General features: G+C 41.8%; 1 protein-coding gene, 1 long non-coding RNA gene and 1 pseudogene across 27 annotated transcripts in view; 1 reads left to right on the top strand and 2 right to left on the bottom strand.

Annotated features, from left to right (window-relative positions):
* CPEB3 (cytoplasmic polyadenylation element binding protein 3) overlaps positions 1–26,993 on the top strand; it is a 244,542-nt gene that overhangs the window by 160,793 nt on the left and 56,756 nt on the right. For all 26 annotated transcript variants that reach the window (XM_047424810.1, XM_024447895.2, XM_011539517.3 and 23 more), the window contains one exon: positions 19,247–19,365. In XM_047424810.1, coding sequence (XP_047280766.1) covers positions 19,247–19,365 — 119 coding nt within the window. The remainder of the gene's footprint in view (positions 1–19,246; positions 19,366–26,993) is intronic.
* SDHCP2 (SDHC pseudogene 2) lies at positions 10,540–11,796 on the bottom strand (annotated as a pseudogene).
* LOC107984254 (uncharacterized) lies at positions 14,913–18,058 on the bottom strand. The gene is made up of 2 exons (XR_001747551.3): positions 15,562–18,058; positions 14,913–15,436 (listed from the first exon to the last, which is right to left on the bottom strand). It is a non-coding gene; the product is annotated as an uncharacterized LOC107984254 (long non-coding RNA).

Below are 26,993 nucleotides of genomic sequence, written 5' to 3'. Positions count from 1 at the left end.
GACCATGGAAGGCGAAGGAAGGCATAAAAGTCACAATGTTTGTTTTCATGACTTGGTCCTGGACCTCACAAACTTATAGTCCTATGGGGGAGATAAGAAATTAATCAGATAGTCACAAAAGTAAACATGATTACAAACTGATAAGTTCTCTGAAGGAAAAATAGAGTGCAGTAGAGACTCTAAAAAGGGGGCATCAGTTTAGATTGGGAGTATGGAGAGAGCTTGTTTGAGAAAATGGCATTTAAGCAGACCTGAAAATTGAGGAGTTAGCTAGAACATGTAGGGAAGCAAATTCCAAGCAGAGGACTATCATGCAGGGAGAACTAAGTATGAAAAAAAGGCTTCAGTGCCTTTGGAGAAATGAAGGAAGTGTGGCTGTAATTTGTTTTTTGTTTGTTTGTTTGGAGACAGGGCCACACTCTGTCACCCAGGCTAGAGTGCAGTAGTACAATCATGGCTCACTGCAGCCTTGACTTCCAGGGCTCAAGCAGTCCTCCTGCCTTAGCCTCCTAAGTAGCTGCACTCACTACCATGCCTGGCTTATTTTTTATTTTTATTTTTTGTGGAGACAGAGTCTTGCTCTGTTGCCTGGGCTGTTCTCAAACTCCTGGGCTCAAGCGATGCTCTCACTTCAGCCTCCCAAAGTGTTGGGATTACAGGCGTGAGCTACCATGCGCAACAGGGATGTTGTGAGGTAGAAGAAAAATGAAAGAGCCTTGAAGGATTTTTTTTCTCCTAAATTGATCTAGTCTCCCAGAGAGAGTAGATATGAAGGCCCTCTTGTCAGTTATATGATCCCAGTATTTTCTATTGTTATTCTAATTGTAGACCTTGGTATTATAATGAAGTAGTAGAACCAGAACAAAGCAATCTGGTTCTCTTTGAACATGTTATTTTATAAACAATAAGAATAATCCCAACAGAACAGCAGAACCATCCCAGCAGAACCAACCATCATTTTTCTATCTCCTTCCAGTCTTTTTGTTATGTAGGTCATAGGGGTTTGTTATACAGATTATTTGGTCACCCAGGTATTAAGCCTAGTGCCCATTAGTTATTTTTCCTGATCCTCTCCCTCCTCCCACCCTCCACCCTCCGATAGGCCCCAGTGTCTATTGTGTCTGTTGTTCCCCTCTATGTGTCCATGTGTTCTCATCATTTAGCTCCCATGTATAAGTGAGAACATGTGGTATTTGGTTTTCTGTTCACTACTTTGCTAAGGATAATAGCCTCCAGCTCCATCTGTGTTCCTGCAAAGGACATAATCTTGTTCTTTTTAATGATTGCGTACTATTCCATGGTATATATGTACCACGTTTTCTTTATCCAGTCTACCATTGATAGGCATTTAGGTTGATTCCATGTCTTTGCTATTGTGAATAGTGCTGCAGTGAACACACATGTGCATGTGTCTTTATGATAGAACGATTTATGTTCCTTTGAGTATATACCCAGTAATGGGTTTGCTGGCTCAAATGGTAGTTGTTTTTAGGTCTTTGAGGAATTGCCACACTGTTTTCCACAATGGCTGAACTAATTTACACTCCCACCAGCAGTGTATAAGCGTTCCTTTTTCTGTGCAACCTCACCAGCACCTGTTATTTTTTGACTTTTTAGTAAGCCATTCTGACTAGTGTGAGGTGGTATCTTATTGTGATTTTGATTTGCATTTCTCTAATGATCAGCGATATTGAGCTTTTTTTCATGTTTGTTGGCTGCATGTGTGTCTTATGAAAAGTGTCTGTTCATGTCCTTTGCCCACTTTTTAATGAAACTATTTATTTTTTTCTTATAAATTTGTTGAAGTTCCTTACAGATGCTGGATATTAGACCTTTGTCAAATGCATAGTTTGCAAAAATTTTCTCTCACTCTGTAGGTTGTCTGTTCACTCTTTTGATAGTTTCTTTTGCTATGCAGAAGCTCTTCAGTTTAATTAGTTACCAATTTTCATATTTTTAAAGAGGCCACCTTTCAAGGAGTTTGTACCATAACTGACTTGCTTTTTGGTCATCTAGGCCAAGCTTATCCAATCTGTTGCCCACAGGCCACATGCAGCTCAGGAAAAATTTGTATACTTTCTTAAAACATTATGTTTTTTATTTTTGCCATTTCTTTTTAGCCTATCAGCTATCAGTGTTACTATACTGTATGTGTGGCCCAAGACAATTCTTCTTCAAGTGTGGCCCAGGGAAGCCAAAAGATTGGATACTTCTGAAGGGTTATTAGAAGTAATGCTTCTCTTGGTATATTTTTGTACATGGCCTTCTCTTTCAGATTATTTTCTGTAGGATAAATTTTGTGAAGGTTACTTAACCACAGTTAAAATAAATGAAAATATTAATGACTCCAGATTTGCTATTATATGGCTTCCCAAAGCAATTTTCTGTATGAAGTTTTAGCTAATTTGGACATCTGTATCAAATGTTGTGCTTAGTTTCAAGTCAGATAAATGGTACATTGTGGTTGTGAACTTACCTTTTTGCTTCTGTGTTTGGTGTATAGTGCACCCCTGAAGAACCCAGGGGCCACATTGGTATGAGTCTTGTACTTGAAGTGTTTTAAGTCTTTTCCTCTTAGGTCTCATCTGTTGAATTTTGGGTGTTTTCTAACATTAGCTCCTATCATTCTCTCCCTTACCCACTATGGCCACACTGACTACTTTGCTATTCTTTGGACAAGACAACTGAGGCCTCTGGGGGGCCTTAGTACTTCCTTTTTTCTGAAGCCCTCTTCCCCCATTTCTTTTTTGTTTGTTCATTTTGAGACAGAGTCTCGCTTTGTTGCCCAGGCTGGAGTGCAATGGCACAGTCTTGGCCTACTGCAACCTCCACCTCCTAGGCTCAAGCTATTCTCATGCCTCAGCCTCCCAAGTAGCTGGGATTACAGCTGTGTGCTACCACACCTGGCTGATTTTTAGGATTTTTTAGTAGAGATGGGGGTCTCACCATATTGCCCAGGCTGGTCGTGAACTCTTGACCTCAGGTGATCCACCTGCCTCGGTCTCCCAAAGTGCTAGATTTACAGTCGTGAGCCACCACACCAGGCCTTCCCCCACATTTCTAAATGGAGCACTTTCTCACTTAGACACTGCTCAAATGTCTAGCCCCTGTATCCTCTTTTTCTGTATTCCTCTTACTCGCATTTTCTGTCTACTTACTTATTTAGTTAGTAGAGATGGGGTCCAGGCTGGTCTTGAACTCTTGGCTTCAAGCAATCCTCCTGCCTTGGCCTCCCAAAATGCTGGGATTACAGATGTAAGTCACCGTGCCTGGCCAATTTATTTCTTTTTTACCCTCATTTTATTTTTCTTTAAAATGCTTATTATGACCTGAAAAATTAGATGTGTTTTTCTGACTTTTTTTCCAGACTGCAATGTAAGTTTTATGAGTGCAGGGAATTTTTTTATATTTTGTTCACTGCTCAATACCAAGTACTTTGCATACTTGGCTCAATGACCTTCAGGTATCTATTAGATGAATGAATTGTATCCTGGCAAATGATGAGTTCATTACTTGATCAGAGAATAGAACCCACCACATTTTAGAGGTGGAAAGTTCCTTAAAGATTATCTCATTCTAGTGCAACCTTTATTTTAAACTGAGACTGAAAGAGGTGAAGTATCTTTTCATAAGAACACACAGCTTTTGTTAGACAGACTTGAACCTGACAGACCAATAGTTTATACTATTTTACCTGGTGGATAATAAAGTTATTTTTATTTGTTTTGCTCCTCTGTATGATTGGTGGAAAAGGAGGACAGGTTTAAGCTATATAATCTGATAGATAATGCTGTTATTTACAAGGCTGGATTTTATATTAAAATTAGCATCTTAAGCTATATGACCCAAGGTACATTTTAACATTTGAAAACGAAAGTGGTCCTTGGCTTTTTCCTGAGCCTTTGTATTCTGTTTGTCATACTCACATAGCTGGAGTATTTCCAAAGAGGTGGTTTAGACTGGGGCTGTAGGTCTGAGCTGCCCTTTAGCCATAACTTAACCATGGAATTCTGCCTCGTGGATGATGCCACACTATTTCTGGACATGGGTGAACTGCTTGGTAGTTGAGTTATTTGACTGCAAGGATAAGTTCTTTTGTGCTACCTCAAATCAGGGGTGTGGTTATGAGTAACAAGGGGAGTCCAAGAACAGGAGCTATAATATAACCAGGTATCATGGAGGCTGTACTAGGGTGTGTGGCAAGCTGCAGGGATTTGAACAGTGGAAGTTACTAATTATCCATTGTAATCTCCCACCATTGTCATGACTCAGTTTGTATAGTTTTCATATTTCTAGTTGAATTCCAGAGAGAGGGAATTTGATTGACCCAGTTCATTTTTTAACACCTAGCTGTGACATAGGTCATCCTAATGATAGGGCCCTAGAATCCTTGACTACTTAGTAAAAGAAGTTCTAGGGCCAGGTGTGGTGGTTCATGCCTGTAATCTAAGTACTTTTGGAGGCCGAGGCAGGTAGAACACTTGAGCCCAGGAGTTCAAGACCAGTCTGGGCAACATGGTGAAACGCCATCTCTGCAAAAAATACAAAAATTAGCTGGGCATGGTGACATATGCCTGTAGTCCCAGCTACTTGGGAGGCTGCGGTGGGAGGATCACCTGAGCCTGGGGAGGTAAAGGCTGCAGTAAGCCGAGATTGTGCCACACTACACTCCAGCCTGGGCAACCGAGTGAGACCCTGTCTTAAAAAAAAAAAAAAGTCTGTTTCCTTTAGCATGTAGCTGTGAATGTGGCCACTAGGAAGATAAGATGGACATGACAAGCTTGATGATAGATAGCATAACCTCCCTCATTGCCCACTGGGAAAATATTCCATCTCCAAAGTTGCTGTCACTGGAGCTACCAAAAAATGCCTGTCCACCCTGAGCCTTCTACCCCTTGTTCTGCACTAACAGCTGATCCTGATACTGCAATAGCCTCACCTCTCATAGTGGGACAGAGAATATGGGCCCAGGGAAAGGAGCTGGCATCTGCTGTGCAATGAGCACAGCTGTGCTACCACTGTTGAGGCCTCTTGGGCAAAGGCAATGATGGCAGCCAGCTACAGATGTTGTACATGAGTTTGGCCATCTGGCTCTGAAACTGATTTCAGAAGCCAATGATGCTGGCAGTGGAATGGAGGAAGCTGTCATTCTCAGCTTACTTGGGCAGCTTACAGTGTCAGCTTCAGCAGTCTAGGGGCACAGGGTCCAGGTGAACAGAAATAGTAATAGGCACACAGCTTTATACAAGAGTGACCAAACCCTTGTGCACTAATGATTCCCACCCACTTTTAGAAAAGTTTGTATTCCTGGATGGCTATTTCTGCTGGTGATTCTATACGTCCTCTGCACTGGCTAGGCTGGCTTGCCCTCTGGTGCTCTTAACCAAGGTCATGTAGTTGTGGAAGTTTATGCAATACCAGCATGGTTTGTGAACCTGGCACAAGCCAGGCCACATACTATTCAGTTTGAACACAAGCCAGCTAGCTAAGGAGATCCTGCTTGAGGAACAAGGAAGAGGAATCTACTTTGAGTGGGCAAAAACAGGCCATTGTGGAGCTGCAGTGGGCTGCAGTGTAGCATTTATTTCTTTTTCCTTCAACTTGTCTAAATCTGGCTTTGGAAAGGAAAGTTTTCAAACTTCACATTTTTTCCCTTGTAGCATAACTTGAATGGAAATAAGTCAGTGTTATTTTAGGCCAGATTCCAAGTTTTTCCACCTTCTGAGTTACGTAAACTGATCAAGTTGGGAAGCCAAGGGTTTTAGCCTGTATTTAACCTTTTGCAGTTCGTCATCTTTTGAGTAACATTCTGTCTTCCTTTAAGAAAAAAAAAAATCAGGTCCTGGCTTATAGTGCTCACACTGTTTGGTGATTTATGAACCCTATATTTTAATATTTTACTTGATTGTGATTTTCATACCCAGGAAGGATTTTCTTGTAAAAACATGGAAACTGCATTGTGTGATAGCAAGGGTGGGCTTTTTGTTTTGTTTTGTTCTGTTTTGACAGATGGAGTCCATCTATCTTTGCTTTTAAAAGCTTAGCACACTCTCAGTTTACACTTTTATAAACACTTGTCTCTTCAGCATTGTATTGAAGATGAACTATAAAGTTAGTCTTTGCTTTCAAAGCATTTACAGTTTGAGGGACTGTACAGAAAGAAGTCATTAGGAATATATAGTCCACAGGACAAAGCTTGAGCAGCCACGTAAATAACAGAAACATCTTGTTCAAGGTCACCTAAGTACACACTGTGCTATGACCAGGCAGAGGTGATGGGATGGGGGGAAATGCTTGTTTAGTTCAGAGAAGTCATAACTCCTCCTGATGAGAACTTTTATTGAGGAAAAAATAGACTTTAGGAACTGAAATGGAAGGTGGAAATTTGGCAGACTGAGGCAGAGAGGATGTTTTAGAAGAGGATATAGCTTGGGTTGGGACTTGCTGACAGTAGTTAGATAGGGCTAAGGCTGTGAGCAGGTGAGACCAACAGAGGATATGTTAATTGCAGAGTTAGGAATGGGAAGCCAGCTAGGAGGGTCTGGTGAAATTTTTTGAAAACTGAGAGCAAAGACCTGGGTTGTCTTTCAAAGGAGAATGGACCCACTTCAGTCTTGAGAAGACTGGCACAGAAAAAAACTCATTTGAAACAGCATTAAGAACTGATCAGAGGAATGTTAAAGTCCAGGGAGGCGAAGAAATTAAGACTATCAAAGCTCAGGCAGTATATGCACAAGGCCAGACTAAAGCTTCATCTGTCTGTAGGAGAGCATCACCTGGATTGAAACAGAGTTCCCCAGTTGTTTGCTGACTGAGGGAGTGTAACAGGCAGTGGGGCATAAGCTAGGTTTGTGGACTCAGATGTGGGCATCAGCATTTACTAGCTATATGACATTGAGCAAGTAATTTAACCTTTAAGCCTCAGTTTACTTATCTGAGTTAATACTACTCGTTGGGTTGTTAAGAGGATTATGTGAGGCAGTGTGTGAAAGCACTAACACAATACTTAGGCTTATTAGGTGTTGAATAATCTTAGCGTCCTTGGTCCTTGCCTGTGACTTAAATGTAATGCTCAGTAATCATAAAATTACCCAACGAGTTTGACCAGTTCTCTCCCACACCCCCAGTCTGGTCTCAGTTTCCTTGGTCAGGTGCTTGTTTGAACTGACTGTGACTAGAACTGACAGATTGGCAGACTTCACAAGGACCTCTTTATATAGGGAATGTGTGATTATGTAAACAGCAGATTTTAAGTCCAAATGCCCCAGGTCACTGCCCTGGACTGCAAGACTTTGCTAAGAACACAGGAAGTAGATTACCAATTTTGAACTCTGAGGTGGTTCTACGCTGCCGGCTTGTTTTCTTGTCCATTCCCAACTATTCCCACCCCTGCTGCCAAGCAACCAACCCACAAAGAAAGTTGGTAGTGTCGTAGAAAACACAAAACAGGCTAGAATCAAGTCTCAGCCTCACACAGTAAATATTGTTAAAGAAATATGTTTAGTTCTGAATCTAAGCAGAGTGTTTAGGAATCCGTGCACTTAGGCAGTATCTATCTGCAGAGCTACCTCTACATTTTAACTTAGGTTAGTTGTTTCCCTTGGAATGTCTTCTCCGTGTTTTCAATGTTTTCACCTATGTTGTACCATTAAGGTCTGGCCCCTGTGCCACCACCTACAGAAAGCCTTTCCTGATTTCTCTATTCATGTCTTCTCTGAAAGTGATCTTTCTTCTTTCTGTGAAGTCCAACTTTTAAAAATATGTTTACAAAAATACTTCTTAGGATCATTAATGCATTGTTCCTAAGTCAGAGTTCTCTGTGAATTTATTCTATACAATCTTCTAGTGCTAGTATATAAACTCCTTAAGAACAAGAATTTGCTCATGATAGTAGTCCCCTGCAGTGTGTAGATTACATAAGTGTTGAGTAAATCTTGGAGATCAGGTATCCTCATTCAAGAGGAAAATGAATAAGAGATCCAGTTCAGAGACCTACAGTGAGTGCTCTCCGCTGCAGGCAGGGATTGATGAGCTGCTTCAACTCTTACCACCCACCACTCTCAATCCTATACTCTAACTAATGAACTCTGCTCACCGTTGTCCAAGTGAGTTGACCCTTTGGCCTTTCCATGCCGTGGCCTGTGCACCTTCCTGAACTTGGAATGCCTTTACTCTCTGGAAAAGTAATCAGCCTCTGGGTCAGATATGGCCTTTGCTCTTTGGTGTTCCCTGATGTTTGGACAAATCTGCTCCCTTTTTTTCTCCCCAGTGTCCTGTAGGAGATACCTCCAACATAGTGCTTTTAATGTTGCTTATTAGTTATTGACAGTCTGATTTTTTCTGGATCAGGGTTCTTCTTTGGCTTGTTCATCTTTGCAACCTCAGTACTTAGCATCATACCTGGCATCTCCTAGATGTTTTTGGTACCCTTGAATTGAATCCAAAAAAAGTCTCCTGAGGCAAACCAGATAAGTCCTCTGACCTGAAAGCCAAAGTCAGAGAGAATGTTTGGGACAGACTGCCTGTACCAAAAAAAGTCTGAACTCAGGCAGCTCTGGCTAGAGCAGTGCCCTTTAGGTTTCTCTAGGAAGGTCACTGGTAATAGGAAGCTTGATTTTGTGAGAGGAGAGAGCTGCCTGTCTGTCCAGGCCATGGACCTTTCCTTCTAGGGTTGGTCTCAATCCAAAACCAGCCATTCCTTGGTCTGCCATTTTATGAATGCTGCAGTGGTTCAGGATACAGCTCCACAAGCTGAATTTTTTTTTTTCCATTTGTAGTTGGTACTTGAAACAAATACATCACTAATAGTATTAGTTGATTTTAAGAACTGTTGATTCCTTAAAAAAAAAAATACACATCTCTTTTTAGAATGGGAGACCTTGTAGTTTTTTTTCCACAAATTTTTATTTAAAAAAAGTCAAACCTACAAAAAAGCTCTAAGAATAATACAGTGAACACCTATATAGCTTTCTTCTAGATTCACCAATTGTTAGCATTTTGCCACATTTTTGCGTGCATGCTCGCTCACGCGCTGTCTCTCTATTATATATATATAATATATTATATATAAAATATATTTTATATATATATATGTGTGTGTATTTCCCCAATAGCCATTTAAGAGTAAGTTGTAGACCGGGCGTGGTGGCTCACGCCTGTAATCCCAGCACTTTGGGAGGCCGAGGCGGATGGATCACCATGTCAAGAAATCAAGACCATCCTGGTCAACATGGTGAAACCTCGTCTCTACTAAAAATACAAAAAATTAGCTGGGTGTGGTGGCACGTGCCTGTAGTCCCAGCTAATCGGGAGGCTGAGGCAGGAGAATCTCTTGAACCCAGGAGGTGGAGGTTGCAATGAGCTGAGATTGTGCCACTGCACTCCAGCCTGGGTGACAGAGCAAGACTCCATCTCAAAAAGAAAAAAAAAAGTAAGTTGTAGGCTGGGCACAGTGGCTCATGCCTGTAATCCCAGCACTTTGGGAGGCTGAGGTGGGTGGATCACCTGAGGTCAGGAGTTTGAGACCAGTCTGGCCAACATGGCAAAACCCCGTCTCTACTAAAAATATAAAAATTAGCCAGATGTGGTGGAACTTGCCTGTAATCCCAGCTACTTGGGAGGCTGAGGCAGGAGTATCACTTGAACCCAGGCGGCAGAGGTTGCAGTGAGCCGAGATCATGCCACTGCACTGCAACCTGGGCAACAGAGTAAGACTCTGTCTCAAAAAAAAAAGAATTGTAGACTCTCATTCCTAAATATTTCAGCACATATCTCCTGAGAACAAGAAATATCCAGATTGTTTCAGTAATGTCCTTTACAGCAGTTTGTTTTCTTTTGTTTTTTGTTTTTTGTTTTTTTTGAGACAGTCTCGCTCTGTCACCCAGGGTGGAGTGCAGTGGTGCAGTCTCGGCTCACTGCAAGCTCCGCCTCCTGGGTTCTGGCCATTCTCCTGCCTCAGCCTCCCAAGTAGCTGGGACTATAGGCGCCCGCCACCACACCCAGCTAATTTTTTGTATTTCTAGTAGAGACAGGGTTTCTCCGTGTTAGCCAGGATGGTCTCAATCTCCTGACCTCGTGATCCTCCTTCCTCGGCCTCCCAAAGTGCTGGGATTACAGGTGTGAGCCACCGTGCCCGGCCTAGCAATTTGGTTTTTTGTTTGTTTGTTTGTTTGTTTGTTTGTTTTTGTATTTTTAGTAGAGACAGGGTTTAACCGTGTTAGCCAGGATGGTCTCAATCTCCTGACCTCGTGATCTGCCCTCCTCGGCCTCACCAAAGTGCTAGGGTTACAGGTGTGAGCCACCGCACCCGGCGTAGCAATTTGGTTTTTTTTTTTTTTTTTTTGTATTTTTAGTAGAGACAGGGTTTCACTGTGTTAGCCAGGATGGTCTCCATCTCCTGACCTCGTGATCCGCCCGCCTCAGCCTCCCAAAGTGCTGGGATTACAGGCGTGAGCCACCGCGCCTGGCGCAATTTGTTTTTTTTTTAAATCCAAGATCCACTCAAGGGATACAACAACTTGCACTTAGATTTTTTTCTTTAATGAGTATTTTAATTTAGTTTCAGAAAAAAATGGTGCATGACTTCGATGAGAAAGCATAAAATTAAGAGGGTTTTCTGGAAATGCAAGAAAAATAAGTAACCTTTAATATGTTCAATGATAATTTTCTGGATCTTCCTCTTGTGTCAATAGCTATATATATTTCTTCCTCAAAGCAGCTGCTCTAAGAACTAACTAGCCCTCTTTATCTCCCTCTAGCTGGGATAGACTAATTCCCCTCCACCCTCACCTCTCTTCTTTGAATAACACTGCATAGGTGTTAATGGCCTGGGCTCTCACCAGTGAACAGAATTGTCCTTTAAGCCAGCAACCCACAGGCAGTGGGACCCAAACCCTCACCCCCAGTCCCCAGGGCAGAAGCCACAGAGCTGGTATTGTTTCTACTGTCTCAGGAAGAAGGAACCAAAAGCTGACCTTTGGCACAAATCAAAGCCCAATATGGAAAGAGAATAACTGCTTCTAGTCCCAGAGTAGGCAAGTTGTGGGCAAAAAATGGGAATTTTTGCAGCCACCCCATCTTTAGAAACAAGGGGAAAACTAGACCCTTTTCCACTCTTATGTTCTACAAGGTACTCTACTGCTCCAAGGGGATCTGAAAGTGCAAAAGGATCTAAACAAATAAGGAGAACTTTTCCCAGGCTGGAGATAAGAGTGACAAACAGAAAGATGGGTGAATGTAATAATGTGTAGGAATATGATGCTGGGAACCTCCGTTCTTCATATGGCTGCCGGCCCTACAGAGGACAACACAGTAAGAACCAGGACAGCCACTCCAGACTGGTATAGCTGGGGAATCTTCAGGCCTTTTCCTAGGTCTCACATCAAGTGTCAGACCCCATTCCAGGTATGATACATGAGAGGGAAGACGAGTGCAAACTTAGCTGTGTGGATCAGTGCTGGCCCCAGACACAGGGACTTCACCAGCTCCAAATAAGACTCAAAGTTCCCAGGGAGTAACAGGGCTGACATGCCAAAAAGAGAGGCCCCTGCCCTCAAAGCAGTACCAGTGTCATGGTGGCAGATGGCCATTGCCATGGGAAGAGACCAACTGTAGATAGTGACGTGGGGAGATACAGGACGGTTTAAACCTGTGTTCTTATTCCAGAACCGCTCCATCTCTTGTTTGCCTGTGGTTCCCAAAGGAACAGCATTTCTGATACAGAGCTGAGGGCTAAAGTGGGCTCGGAGGCAATGTCGACCAACATGTCTCAGCAAGAGTGCAGCCATCTTGGGTTCCACATTCAGTTGTTACATCTCTTTAATCTCCTTTAATTTAGACAGTTCCCTAGGCTTTTTGTCTTTTATATCATTAGAAGAGTTCATGCCCATTGTTTTATAGAATATCCTTTAATATAGTTTTTGTGGGCTTTGTAGCAATTATATCTACATAGGCCTTAAATTATAGGACTAAAGCACAGGGTGACCACTTACTGCTATTAAAACAATGTCAGGCCGGGCACGGTGGCTCACACCTGTAATCCCAGCACTTTGGGAGGCTGGGGCGGGTGGATCACCTGAGGTCAGGAGTTCGATACCAGCCTGACCAACATGGTGAAACCCCGTTTTTACTAAAAATGCAAAAATTAGCCAGGTGTGGTGGTGCATGCCTGTAATCCCAGCTACTTGGTAGGCTGAGGCAGGAGAATCACCTGAACCCCGGAGGCAGAGGTTGCAGTGAGCCAAGATCACACCATTGCACTCCAGCCTGGGCAACAAGAGCGAAACTCCATCTTGAAACAAAACAAAACAAAACAAAACTGTCAAATGGTCACTGTCATAAGGACATTTTAAAGGCAAGTTCTGTATTAGGGATATTTAAAAGTTTATCTTGCCATTTTTAGATGAGGTAGTATAAATTAATGGGCTCTGGAAACTGATCTGGTTTAATTCCAGATTTCATTCCTGGGTTTTAATTTGAGAATTCCCTTAACCTCTCCAAGCTTCATTTTCCTCATCTGTAAAATGGTAATAATAACAACTGTATTTACCTCATAGAGTTACTGTGAGGATAAAATGAGCTAACATGTAAAATATTTATTAGCAAAGTGCCTAGAACATTGTGAGCATTTAGTACCTGATAGTTGTGGTAGTAGAGTTGTTGATAATTTGTACTAGGTATCAAATATTAAAAAAAAAACATGAAAAATTATGTATTTAAGAGATCAGGAAGCTTTGTTTTTGAAAGGTAGCCAAGAACATTTTGGAGGTTGTTATACTTAATGTGTTCTCAGGTATTAAAAGAAAAAAATCACTACTGGGCACGGTGGCTCACACCTGTAATCCCAGCACTTTGGGAGGCTGAGGTGGGCGGATCATGAGGTCAGGAGATCGAGACCACCCTGGCTAACACCGTGAAACCCCGTCTCTACTAAAAATACAAAAAAATTAGCCGGGTGTGGTGGCAGGCACCTGTAGTCCCAGCTACTCGGGAGGCTGAGGCAGGAGAATGGCTTGAACCTGGGAGGCGGAGCTTGCAGTGAGCCAAGATCACACCACTGCACTCCAGCATGGGCAACAGAGCGAGACTCCTTCTCAAAAAAAAAAAAAAAAAAAAAAAGTCAGCCAGGCATGGTGGCTCATGCCTGTAATCCCAGCACTTTGGGAGGCTGAGGTGGGTGGATCATGAGGTCAGGAGTTCAAGACCAGCCTGGCCAAGATGGTGAAACCCCGTCTCTACTAAAAATACAAAAATTTGCCAGGTATGGTGGCGGGCACCTGTAATCCCAGCTACTTGGGAGGCTGAGGCAGAGAATTGCTTGAACCTGGGAGGCGGAGGTTGCAGTGAGCTGAGATCGCACCACTGCACTCCAGCCTGGGCGACAGAGCGAGACTCTGTCTCAAAAAAACAAAAAGAAAAAAATATTTTAATTAAATTTACACTTCACACACCTGGCCAATGAAATGGAATTATCCTAATTAAGTTCCTTCCCAAACCTTGGTGTTCCTTTTTCTCCCAGAAAATTGCATTGATCAATTTAGGATTGTTGAAAAAAATCCCTCAGTGTTCTACCCTTCTTCCCCAACCTGTTTGGCATCAGTGGGAAAGCAAGGAATTTTCGGCCATCCATTCTACCTGTAACTCAGGGTTGTGTTGGTGACAGTGACTAGGAACTGTTCCTGTTCCCTCCAGAGCCCTGTCTGCTTTCATAGACTGGCTTGGAGCTGAGGGCCTCTCATAGCTTGCCACATCACTGAAGCCCCCACATACTCCTCAGGTTACCATTTCTGAAACTGGAAGAGTTTTATAATCATATTATCTGTTACTGGGTCCGAGGGCAAGAGAGAGCAGAGGAAGTTGATAATTTTTTGGCCAAGTTTTTTTTTTTAATACCTTTCAAACTAATAGAGAAGCTCTGTTTATAGGCATAATTGGTTTTTACTTTAAAATATATTAAAATCAGAAAATAATACTACATCTGACATTCTTGTGGGGGAAATGGCTAATCATATATGAAAGCAGATATTCAGTCACTTTATTGTTTGTTTGCAGTAATATTCAGCCTGTCATTCAAGTAACTTTAATTAGGGCTTTTCTTCAGTATCTAGGTTACTTCTCTTTATTCACCAAATGCTTGCAAATGCAAAATAGAAAGTGCATATTATTATTATTATTATTTTTTTTTTTTTTTACTGGAAGGTGTGTTTAATAACTTAAAATCTTCATCATTATAGTGATTACTTCCTGTGGCATTTTCCTTATTGAATATTAACATAAGTACACACTGTGAGACTCTGCTACAGGGCCTTGTTCCTTATGCCTTGGACATACAGTGGGGGGCAGAGGCAAAGCCCCTACTCCTACTCTCCTAAGTTTGAATTTCCTTTGCCTCCTCAATTAACCCATCTGATTTATTGGGACATCACTGATCTCAGATACAAGAAAACTGATACTGTTGTGGAAGAAAAGCAAATCGTGACGAGAAAATGGCTCTGTTATCACAGGTCTGCACGTTTACATAACAGAAAAAGCAAGGGACAGAATTATATTTGGACCAAATCCAAATCACTGAGTGATTCTACTAAATGATGATCGCATACTAAATTTTTTTTTGTTTTTTCACATACATTTTAAAGTGAGAGATATTATTTTAAATTTTAGAGGGTGAGCATCAAATAACATTGTGGTTTCTGTAATCAGTATAAATTACGCAACAATCAGTTTAAATGGGATCATTTACAACTGCTCACATAGCTCTTGAGTTTATATTAACAATGTAGAATTTAACGCAGGATAGTCTATTCCTCAAAGAAACAGGAATAATGAACACAATTAAATGTTTCACTTTGACCCAGACTATTTTTCAGAACATAAAGTCATCAACATTCATATTACAGCAATGCTTTTTCTTTTCCGCCCAATTAGCACCAATATAAATCGTTCATTCCATCTAAGGCCCTGTATTACTTCAGGGAATATAAATCTAAGTCCCGGCCAGGTGCAGTGGCTTACGCCTGTAATCCCAGCACTGTGGGAGGCTGAGGCTGAAGGATCACAAGGTCAGGTGTTTGAGACCATCCTGACCAACGTGGTGAAACCCCATCTCTACTGGGAATACAAAAATTAGTCGGGTGTGGTGTCACACGCCTGTAGTCACAGCTGCTCGGGAGGCTGAGGCAGGAGAATCACTTGAATCCGGGAGGCGGAGGTTGCAGGGATCCGAGATCGCCTCACTGCACTCCCGCCTGGGCAAGAGACCGAGACTCCCTTCTCCAGGGACGCGTCCATGGCTGAGGCGGTCGGTGGTGGCCCGGCGGTCCCGGGCTCTACTTCCTCCTCCCGCGCCCCGCAGCTCTTTCCACACTGGCAGCGCTGACGTCCCCCGCGCCCGCGGCCGCCGGGGCGGAGAAGAGGAGGAGCTGCCAGGCGGCTCTGCCGGCTGAAAGTGCATATTATTAATTTGAATTCTAATGTTTGTAATGAGACCATATGCAAAAACTCAACTTTAATTTTATCTATTACAGAAATAATTGAAAATGCAGTAAAAGAAAAATCAATACTCACATGACTTCCTAGTTTATGAAACACCTTTTTATACGTTATCTTACAACCTACATCTCTGTAAGGTAATTGGGACAAATATTTGGTTTCTTCATTTGACAGAGAAGAGAGCCAGGATTCAGAAATGTTAATATTCAAGTTCATGGTTCCACCACTTACTGGGTGATCTTGAACAAGTCGCTTAATCACTCTGTGTAATTTCCTTAAATATAAAGCAGAATTCAAAATAGGGCTTACCACATAGGGTGTGTGTGAAGATGAAATGAGTTAATGTCCACAAGGCACTTAGAACAGTGTCTGGTGCATAGTAAATCTCAACAAATGTTAGCTATTAGCTGTTATTATCACATAGCTACTAAATGTTAGGACTTGTACCCGAATCTAGACCTTCTGTCTCCTAGTCCAGAACACTTCCTAGTACCATGTGCAATTTACCTTTTAGTAAATCATTGATTGGATTTCCGCCTCACATTGACCTTGTTATTCTTGAAGGGATCTTTTTCTACTTTGTTTACTTTGACTTTAAATTTTTCAAGATCAAAAGGGAAATATGTTCGAAAGATTCTTCCTGATTTTAAAAAATCCTCTGATTTCTGTTGTCATCTGGGTTTGCTTGACCTTGAAGTATCAGAAGGTGTTTTAGCAGGTGAAGATATCATAAAGTTGTTTTCAAGAGTGATTTTGGGTGTTTCCGGTGAATTCTGTTTTGGTTGGAAGGCCTAAAGTGGGAAGTAGAGTTAGAAGAAATTGTTGAACTACAGCCCAGATTTTGGGGGGTTGGGGGGAGTTTAGCCATGTCTCTTATCTACAGTGCTGAGAGAATATTGCCATTACAGAAAATGGCAGCTTGGTGACCTCAGAGTAAAGATAATTGTTTTGACACAGGATTATTTATAGTAAAAGAGCCATCCTAAAGAAATTGGTAAACTGTTATGGACCATTTCCTGGGAAAGGAGAAATTGTTTATAGATATTTCTCTTGATAATAGTATTTGTAGCAGGCTTTTACTTGTGACTCCCAGTTGTTTTTACTCTATCTACTGCCAGTGTAGATATTTTATGGCTGTGAGATGGGCCTAAGTGAAAATCTGCGTGCTTTTGTGGGAGCTGCTCAGCTGCTATAGGGAGACAACCGCCTTTTCTTTGGATGCCCAAGGTCAATGCAAAACTGGATTTGATGTTGAAGATTGCAGAGGGTGGGCAGTGATGTGAAGGAAAAATGGAGTCAGCCAGGAGGCCTTCTTGAGGCAAGGAATAAGAGAAAGCCCCAACTCACTGGGCATTCCCTATCACCAGGCCTTTTTGATGTGTACATAATACAATATATACATAGATGGAGTACTCTGACTGCAGGGTGTTCAATATGCTTATGATCTTTGTGGATATCTGTACCAGTATTTAACTTGGTAAGAGAGGAGGTTTGAAAGAACCTGCTGAGACCTCCTCTTTGTGATATTTGGACTTTTTAACCCACCTTATCTCTAATATTATCTTTAGTAAGTAGAATTAATGTTCTCATATTAAGTGAAAACACTGAATTTTTAAGATTCCCTGGCACCTGGTGATAGTTCAATACTGTTTGCAAAAGAGGATATGAAGAAATGATGTATGTATTGTCTTTTCTAGTTTTGCAGTCAGGTTTTATTTTTCCTGACTAGCCATCAACAGAATCTTCTGACCTATGCAGCATGAGACCAAAGCCCAGAAAACAGCTCTTGGTCCTAAAACCTTGGCAGTCTCTCTCTTGCAACTACATGGCTGCCCATTCAATTTGGTGCCTTTTCCTGTGTGTTAGTTTCTGCCTGCTATGCTAGGGAGTGGCTGGTCTTTTTTTCTGCTATATTTGCCTGGATGCTCTGTATAGTAGATGGGGAGTTGGAGAAAAGGCTAAAAACGAATAGCCATTATCCATTGCCACTGTCATTACATGTTGCCCAGGACTCCAGAGAGCTTTGCTTCTTAGCCAGTTGATTATGAATTAAACACCTCTGATGTGTGAGAATCTTCTGTATGTGGGGATTCTTATCCTTCTCTGCCATTTACATTCTTCTGATATGCAATGTACCAGAGAAGAACTGTGTTGATGATGGTTTCCTTTGAGGTTAGTAGCAGAGTTGGGAGTTGAGGAATGACAGCTGAGAGATTTAGCAAAGCTAGCAGGGTTGTAGAGAAGTTGAAAGCTTAGACTAGTTCATGACGGGCCTTTGCTCTGTCATCATTTATGAATGCCAGTGTGGCCACAAGTGCCACAGGTGGCCCCTTGAATATCTGTTGCTCTCTTTAAAGTCTTTGCTGATTCTCCCAAGTTGGGCCTTTGCTCCTTGTGATTTCAGTGACACATTTTGTCCCCACTTATCTCCCTCAGCTTTGTAGTGAGTAGTTAATTGTCTAAATGTTTGTTTCATCTACTTCATAAGTTTCTTTACAAGAGGAACCTGGGGCCGGGCGTGGTGGCTCACACCTGTAATCCCAGCACTTTGGGAGGCCGAGGCAGATGGATCACTTGAAGTCAGGAGTGTGAGACCAGCCTGGCCAACATGGTGAAACCCTGTCTCTACTAAAAATACAAAAATTAGACGGATGTGGTGGCGGGCGCCTGTAATCCCAGCTACTTGGGAGGCTGAGGCACACGAACTGCTTGAACCCGGGAGGCAGAAGTTGCAGTGAGCCGAGATCATACCACAGAGATTGTGCCACTGCACTGAGATTGGGTGACAGAGCAAGACTGCATCTCAAAAAAAAAAAAAAAAAAAAAAAGGAACGTGGTCTTGCTTATTTTAGTATTCTCATAAACCATGGATATGTCCCACTTGTATCAGTTACTCGGTAAATCTTATGGAATTAAACTGAAAAAAACTGGCTGTGTCTATGGAAATCCTGCAGCTAATGTCCATTTTTCTAGACCTACTGTACTCTGCCAAGAGGGTATCTCTTAGAGAAGCAGAGCACCATCATCAGAAATAGCAGGCAAAAGCACACCAGCTTATTGTTGGCCTTTTTAAAAACTTTTTTGAAGCTTTTTGTGTGTGTGTGTTTGTGTGTCAACAAAGCTTTGTTAAAATATCATTCACATACCATACAACTCACCAATGTGACATGTGCATGTCAGTGGTTTTCAGCATGTTTACAGAGTTGTGCAATCATCAGCACAATCAATTTTAGAAAATTTATCATCCCAAAAAGAAACTCAGTGCCTATTCCCTCCAGCTTCCCCATCCTAGGCAGCCACTAATCTATTTTTTGTCTTGATAGATTTGCTGGTTCTGGACATATTTTGTCTGGCTTCTTTCACTTAGCATAATATTTTCAAGGTTTATCCCTGTGGCATGTGGCCAGCCTAGAGCTTTGTAGAAATTGGAAAGCAGGTGGTGCTTGTTTCCTGGCTACTTGTTAGTTGTGGCTAAGGCCAATGGTGAGTCCACTTGCCCTCATTAAGGATAACCAGATGTATTTAGTGGAAATTCCATAGATGTGTTCTAAACTTGCTTCTGTGAGTAATTGTAAAAATTAAACAAGGTAATATCAATGAGCACCTAACTTAGTTCCTGGACAAAGTCCCTTTGTCCCACTTGAACTTCTTAGATTTTAGTAAGAATTTGCCAAAATGAAACAACAGATAATTTGTAATTGGTACTTTGAGTTTAATGTACTGATTCTTCCTCTACCCTTTTGTTTTTGCTCTCCCCAAGGCTATGCCTTTCTGCTGTTCCAAGAGGAAAGCTCAGTACAAGCTTTGATAGATGCCTGCCTAGAAGAAGATGGGAAACTCTACCTGTGTGTGTCAAGCCCCACCATCAAGGACAAGCCAGTAAGTAATACATGGCCAGCTGTTGCTTTTCCAGAGCACATATGCTATTGGAATAGCTGACCTCCTCTTTCTGATAATGGAAATGCTGGTAACTAGGATCCTCTTACCCAGCTTGGCCTTGCTATGCAGTAGAGTTGGACTTTCGTTGGTGATGGGAAACTAACAACAAATTACTCAGTATTCATTTTATACCTTTGGGACTGTGTGTAAACAAATATGTCCTTGTCTTTCACTTACAGCTCTTTTAAGCTAATTCCTATTCAGAAATTCTGAATCGAGGTAAATAATGCTCTTAGCGGTTTTGGCAGCTGGTTTCCGTCATTATTTCAGATCAAGAACGGAGTTATTTATTTTTGAAAAAGGTCATAATTGTTGATGTTTATGTGCCTCTGAATGCAAGGCATTGTGCTGGGTGGTACCCACAGCTAGTTAAATAGAGCCTTCTGGGTCAGGAGCTTACACTCTAAAATGGATAGTTTCAACAGAGCAGGAGAGGAGAAGGGCAGAGAACGTGGAGCTAAAACCATAATACAGAGTTTGTGGTTAAGAGTTTGTGGCTTCTGAGCCAGAGTATGAATGAGTAAGTCACTGGATAAGGGAGGAAGATTGTGTCCTTCCTCTGGCAGAAGAGCTATCAGTGGAGAAGGGGCAAGATCATGTTCAGAGCAGAATAAACGAACTTCATTTATGTGACAGAAGTAGGGATCTGTGGGAAGTTGGCAGGGGTAGGGTGAGGTGAGTTTGTGTGTCAAGGCTTGGTGCTAGATGTGGCAAATAGAGTAAAAATATGACACAGAGTGGGCAAGAGACCAGAGCTGTATATACCACAGGGCCTGCAGCGGCCTTTGTATGACTAGCACTGGAAATGTAGGGCCTACTTAGCAGCTAGGTTTATTTTCAGAAATGTGCATGGGGAAATAGTTGGATTGAATATAGAAGTTTGAGTGTTGACTCTTGTATTTAAATATCTGCTTGGCTTTGAATAAATCATCTAATCCTTGCTGAACTGTGGTTTCCTCACCTGGAAGATGGGAAGAATAATCATTCTTCCCTGGGTTGTTGAGAGGCTCAGATAAGAGGAAAATGAATGTGAAAGCATTTGGTAGAGGTCAGATACTTGTACAAATTTAACTGGCTAATGTTGTCAGTCCTACATAGGATTCAATAGAGCAAGATTAGAACTCAGCTATATGGCAATATCTGTTGAGAAGGATGATGACATCTTTAACAGGGTTTACAACTGTTTGCTAAAAAATGATGTTGAGACTTGGCCACCTATAAAGGGGAGAGTGCAGCACTTAAAGCAGAAGAAAGAACTACTAAAGAATGGGGATATTGAGAGTATTCATTGGAGAGTAAGCAAATGATGTGGAAAAAGAGGCAAGGATTTTAGCCAGTATAAAAGTGCCACTGTAATTTTCAAATTTGGAGGCTGTTGCCAAATTTTGGAGTAGTATGAGTTTGGAAAGTCTGTACCCAAAGAAGAAACAAGTCCCCCTCCACACACACAAAAAATCTGTACCTGGCCAGGTACAGTAGCTCACGCCTGTAATCCCAGCACTTTGGGAGGCCAAGGTGGGTGGATCACGAGGTCAGGAGATCAAGACCATCCTGGCTAACACGGTGAAACCCCTTCTCTACTAAAAATACAAAAAAATAGCTGGGGGTGGTGGCACGTGCCTGTAATCCCAGCTACTTGGGAGGCTGAGGCAGTAGAATCGCTTGAACCCAGGAGGCGGAGGTTGCAGTGAGCCGAGATCGCGTCATTGCATTCCAACCTGGGCGACAGAGTGAGACTGTCTCAAAAAAAAAAAAAAAATCTGTACCCAATTTGGTAGGATCAGATATCTGAGAGGTAAATTCTCAACCTCCAGAGAGCCTCTGCTACTGGCATGCCAGTTGGAGAGAAGCTGGAGTGAGCTGGGAAGGTTTAAGGTCACACACTGTAGGAGAGGATTAGAAATAAATTTTTCTACATAAAAAGGCAGAGGGATAGTAGTACATGTTGAAATAGTTATGTCCATGCAGGTTAAGAAGCTAGAGATGAACACGCAGAGTTTATATACTTTGGAAGAATCGTGTCACTGGCTCTGTAGGGAAGGAGAATAATATGCCTTGTGGGACAAGCCTTCAGCTGGACAGGATGTCTCTTGAGCAGGGAGTGAGCAGCAGTAGGGGTCAGATGGAGGTGTTGTGGTGACAATGCCATTACTCTTGAGTGTTTTCAGTAGAAACACATGTATTATCCTTGGATTGAAGGACTTTTGAAAATAATTAGTAGAATTAATCTGTTTTGGAAATGTTTATGGGGAAACTAGCTTTCACTGTTTGTGTTTTGGCAAATTCTGCCTTATTACAGTTTTCATTTTCTGAGCTCAAGTGCAGCAGTTTTATTGTAGCTTGGTGAATTCTGAATGGCGACTGCCAATCACACATTTCTTTGACCCAGGCATACTCAGAATTTCCAGCATAAACAGTTTTAGTAAAACTTAGGATAGGAAACTTAAAAGTCCCCAAACACCTGCAATTTTAATGAACTGGATCCTATTTTGGGTTCTACTCTTTTGGCTCTATTTTTGAAAACTTCTCTTACTTGGTTTTAGCTCCACATCTACCACCCCACCACCACCCCCTGCCTCATTTATGCATATGTCCCTACCTAGGTTCTGGTACATTCCACCTCATTGTGCATGCTCCCATGAGGGGAAAAAAAGTAAGAACTGTGTTGAACCTTTGGAAGTAAATGAGGACCTTGGCAGTAGCTCAAGGCAAAGTCAACCTTTGGTGCTCACTCACCAAACTTTTTTTGAGCCATGGTGCTTCCTTGCTCCCAGCTTTTGGCTTGGCTAGCCTTTATTTTCTACCTTTCAGGATCCCAGTGCCCTTGTTCTGTTGTTTCATTTTTTCTGACCCTCCCTGGATTTCTTCTTGGAAATACACCATGTTCTAAAATGACCTTGCAGATTTTCTACCCTTTATCTTTCTTTCTCATCGTTTCCCCTCAAACTCCTGTTCCCTTTGGAACAGATTAATCAGATTGTTTTTCTAATGCAGAACCTGATAGTGAGGTCTCCTTTCACCCATCTTGTCCAGGATCATACTTGCTTTTTTTAACTCAAATGAATTCCAAATTTGTGGATTTCAGGTTGTGTTAGGGAGATATTTTTCATCAGTGACTACTTCTTATTAAATTACTCAACTCAGACTATTCTGTGTATAGGTCTGGTCCTGAAAGATTGCAGAAGGAACTGTATTTATGGCCTAATTAGTTGACTTCCTCAGTTCCAAAGAATGGGAAGACAAATTGGCAAGAGCAAGAGGAGGTATTGAGGAGCTTCTAGATCTATGATTTTTTTTTTCCTTCTCCAGTAAGAGGAGTTTCATAGCTCAGGTATCCCAGGCATATCAGAAGACAGCTGTGTCCATGTGCAAGGGTTCCAGTGAAGCAGGCAGACATTGTGCACAGTGGTCCCTCTCATCAAAGTGACTCTATTTTTTGACTATATTAATAGATTGAACCTGAAGGTTCAAGACAGCAAGCTAATAGAGCAAGGGACCTAGAAGGTCTAGCAGAGATAGGGGCTGAAAAAGAGTAATCTTGAAAAGAAGGTGGAGAAGGAGCTATTTAAGGTTCTAGAACATGTTGGCCAGAGATGTGGGATAGCAAACACCTTGAAAGGATTATCAGAGGAGTTTCCTGCTTCCTGCTCCTTATGATTTATTTATAGCACGACTACAATTTCTCTATATCCTGAAATACAACAGAGTGATTTTGCTATAAATTTAAAAACCATATTACCAAACTAAAGTATGCTTATGTGGGGATCCATTCTTTACGTTATTGCTCAGGTAATGTGGTCATCCACTTAAAACTTGAAAAATGAAAATCGAAAAGAATGGTAAGAATAAGGAATCTGGAAATAAAGGCCAATTTAATTCTTCAGTTTTTAATTCTGTCCCATGTGTCTGTCATTCTGGTGTTTCCTCCTCCCCCTGTTTGTATATGAGTGGGATCTGTAGCACTTTTCATTCACACCTCTTTGGTTACAAAAGCAGTCCAGATCCTTTTCCCAGCTATTTAAGACCTTCCCAATCTGGCTTCAATTTTTTCCAACTTTGCTTTTTTCTGCTTTCCTTCTGAACCCCATATTTTAACCAAACAGAAATATCTATGCTCTCATCTTGATTCCTTTCTTCCTTCCTTCCTTTTTCTTTTTTTCTTTTTTCTTTCTTTCTTTTTTTTTTTTTTTTTTTTTTTTTTGAGACAGAGTCTTGCTCTTTTGCCTAGGCTGGAGTGCAGTGGTGCGATCTCAGCACACTGCAACCTCTGCCTTCTGAGTTCAAGTGATTCACCTGCCTTAGTCTCCCAGGTAGCTGGGATTACAGGCATGTGTCACCACACCTGGCTAATTTTTGTATTTTTAGTAGAGACGGGGTTTCACCATGTTGGCCAGGCTGGTCTCGAACTCCTCACCTCAGGTGATCCACCCGCCTTGGACTCCCAAAGTGCTAGGATTACAAGCGTGAGCCACCGCACCTGGCCTCCCATCTCAATTTCTAATTCCTACCCTTAAAGACTCCTTACAAATGCCATCTCTTTCATGAATCCTTCCCTGATCACCACATCATGTATCGTGAATGTTACCTATTATCGTAGCTATCTCCATCCCTATCTAGAGCCATCTTTTTAAAATGGTGTGCCTTCCTTCAGACCATGTTTGAGTACCTGCCGTGGTCAAGGCACAGTACTGGTTACTGTGAACCAGAACGTACTGTGAGTTGATATAAAATCTTGTGTCCAAAAGTTAATTAAATGGTAATGAGGGAATAGCCAAAAAAAAAAAAAAAGGTTAATAGTATAATGCATAGATAAAATAAGTATAGGCTGGGTGCAGTGGCTCATGCCTGTAATCCCAGCACTTTGGGAGGCTGAGCTGGGTGGATCACTTGAGGTCAGGAGTTCGAGACCAGCCTGGCCAACATGGTAAAATCCTGTCTCTATTAAAAATACAAAAATTAGCCGGATATGGTGGTGGGCGCCTCTAATTCCAGCTACTCGGGATGTTGAGGCACAAGAATCGCTTGAACCCAGGAGGCAGAGGTTGCAGTGAGCCGACATTGCGCCATCGCACTCTAGCCTGGGTGGCAGAGTGAGACTCCATCTCATAAATAAATAAAATAAAAATACAAAAATTAGCCAGGCATGGTGGCGGACGCCTGTAATCCCAGCTACTGGTGGGCTGTGGCAGAATTGCTTGAACCCGGGAGGCAGAGGTTGCAGTGAGCTGATATTGGGCTGCTGCACTCCAGCCTGGGAGACAGAGCAGGACTCAGTCTCAGAAAAAAAAAAAAAAAAAAAACCCACAAAACAAGTATATAAATACACAGTATCTATAGAACCTAGCACATAAAAGGTTCCCAAATATTTGCCAAAGTAACAAAGATAAAACAAAAGAATAAGATACAGATTATGTACTTTGGAGAGTTCATCTATACCTAGAATGATGAAAGAAAACTTCCTGGATGAAGTGTCATTTGAATTAGGCTTGAAGGATGAGGAGAATGTGGAGTTGGCCAAGAGAAGGGTGGAAGTATAGGGAATAAAAATTTCAGAGAAAGGCAAAAACATGAACACAAAAATGGGAAATGGTGTGACATGAATGGAGAATATTTAGGTTGGTTAGATGGAGCACAAATATGTGAAAGGGAATAGAGAGAAATTAAATTGGGCAAAATAGATAGAGACTAAGTTATAGAACACCTTGATTGTCTCAGTCCTTCATTTGTGATGTGTTTACTACAGGTATTTCATTCTTTGCTTAGTACCTCTTAACACATAACTATAATTTTATCTTGGCCCATTCGAATCTGGTTTTGTATGTCCACATCTTAGAATTCACGGCTAAGCCATATCAGCATGTGTGTCATATCCCACCTCGGAAATCTTTAGCATTTCTGATCTTGATTTATTTATTTGTTTCTTGAATTCTTGGTCTAAATTGTGGTTTGGGGCTGGGCACGGTGGCTCTTGCCTGTAATCTCAGCATTTTGGGAGGCTGAGGCAGGAGGATTGCTTGAGGTCAGGAGTCCGAGGCTGCAGTGAGCTGTGATCACACCAGTGCACTCCAGCATAGGCAACAGCGAGACCCCTGTCTCTCTAAAAAAAAGAAAAGAAAAGAAATCATGGTTCGGACACCTTCCATCATAGGAATTTCTTCAAAGAAGGAATTTCTTTTCCAAAGTGAGAGACATATCTCCTATTCATTATACATTTGATTTTTTTTTTGCCCTGGGTGTCTGAATCTGCAAATTGGTCCAGAATTTCTTAGTGCTTGAATCTTTGGAAGCTGTATTTTCTTTTCAGGGAGGTCTAAAAAACGTTGCATTTCCAGCCGGGCGTGGTGCCTCACGACTATAATCCCAGCATTTTGGGAGCCAAGGCGGGCGGATTATGAGGTCAGGAGATCGAGACCGTCCTGGCTAACACGGTGAAACCCCGTCTCTACTAGAAATACAAAAAAATTAGCTGGGCGTGGTGGCAGGTGCCTGTAGTCCCAGCTACTCAGGAGGCTGAGGCAGGAGAATGGTGTGAACCTGGGAGGTGGGGCTTGCAGTGAGCCGAGATCGTGCCAGCCACTGCACTCCAGCCTGGGTGACAGAATAAGACTCCGTCTCAAAAAAAAAAAAAAAAAAAAAGTTGCATTTCCATTGTACTAAATGGTAGCTAGTGGACAAAATAGCCAACGCCACCCCTTAAGGGATAATGTTCAGTGTTTTCCAGAGTGTGTTCTGAAGAATACTTGTCCCATCAAAGACTAATCTCTTGAGAGGATCTTCGACAAAAGGTTTCCTCATAATGGTAATAGGTGTCATTTTTTGAGCACTTACTTTGTGCATTGTATATCCATTTTGTCTTTTAATTAAAGTTTCCTTAGCCAAAATCATTTGAGAAACATTGATATATTAAGGTTCTGAGAAGTCTTACAATATATACATTTGTGTAAAATTGTTTAATCCAGCATTTTACATTCCTGCTTTGGGGATGATACTCGTGCAGATTCCTGTGGAATTAGTATTCCATGAAGCTCATTCAAAGAATAGGCATCTTCCCAGGAAAAACTTAGGTAACCTGAACTTTTATGTGTACATTCCTCTCAAGAGTTTTAGTAATCAGCATGCCAGTAACAACATCCTTGTCCTAGTACCATGGAGCTGAAAGTTCACATTTATATAGACATTGGACAAAGTTGTCTGGCTGGAGTACAAGATTGCCTGAGACTGTGAACCTGAAAGTTAAAATAGCTGGATACAGTGCTAGTTTCACTGCTAACTCATTTTTCTCAAGCTTTGCTAACTGCTAGTTTTGTTAGTAGGTCCAACAAATGTCCATTGGTCATTTCTTGATGCATTGCAAACAGGCATAAAGAGTGGAGAAAAAAGAGTGGTTAGTCACTCACTAGTAAAAATTCATGTTGACTTGTTCAGGAGCCTATCTGGAAGCTGTGACTGGTGGCCAGTAGCCTGGAGGACAGGGAGCCTTGTAGGCACACAACATGATTGTAGTAGAAAGAGTACGTGTAGACTGTTTTATAAACCTGGAGTTCAGTTCCAAGATGACTTCACTCTTC

Source organism: Homo sapiens, chromosome 10, assembly GCF_000001405.40.
Source record: "Homo sapiens chromosome 10, GRCh38.p14 Primary Assembly".
Lineage (NCBI taxonomy): Eukaryota > Metazoa > Chordata > Mammalia > Primates > Hominidae > Homo > Homo sapiens.
Note: the sequence above shows the minus strand (reverse complement) of the source record. Positions and strands in the feature narration are given on the sequence as shown.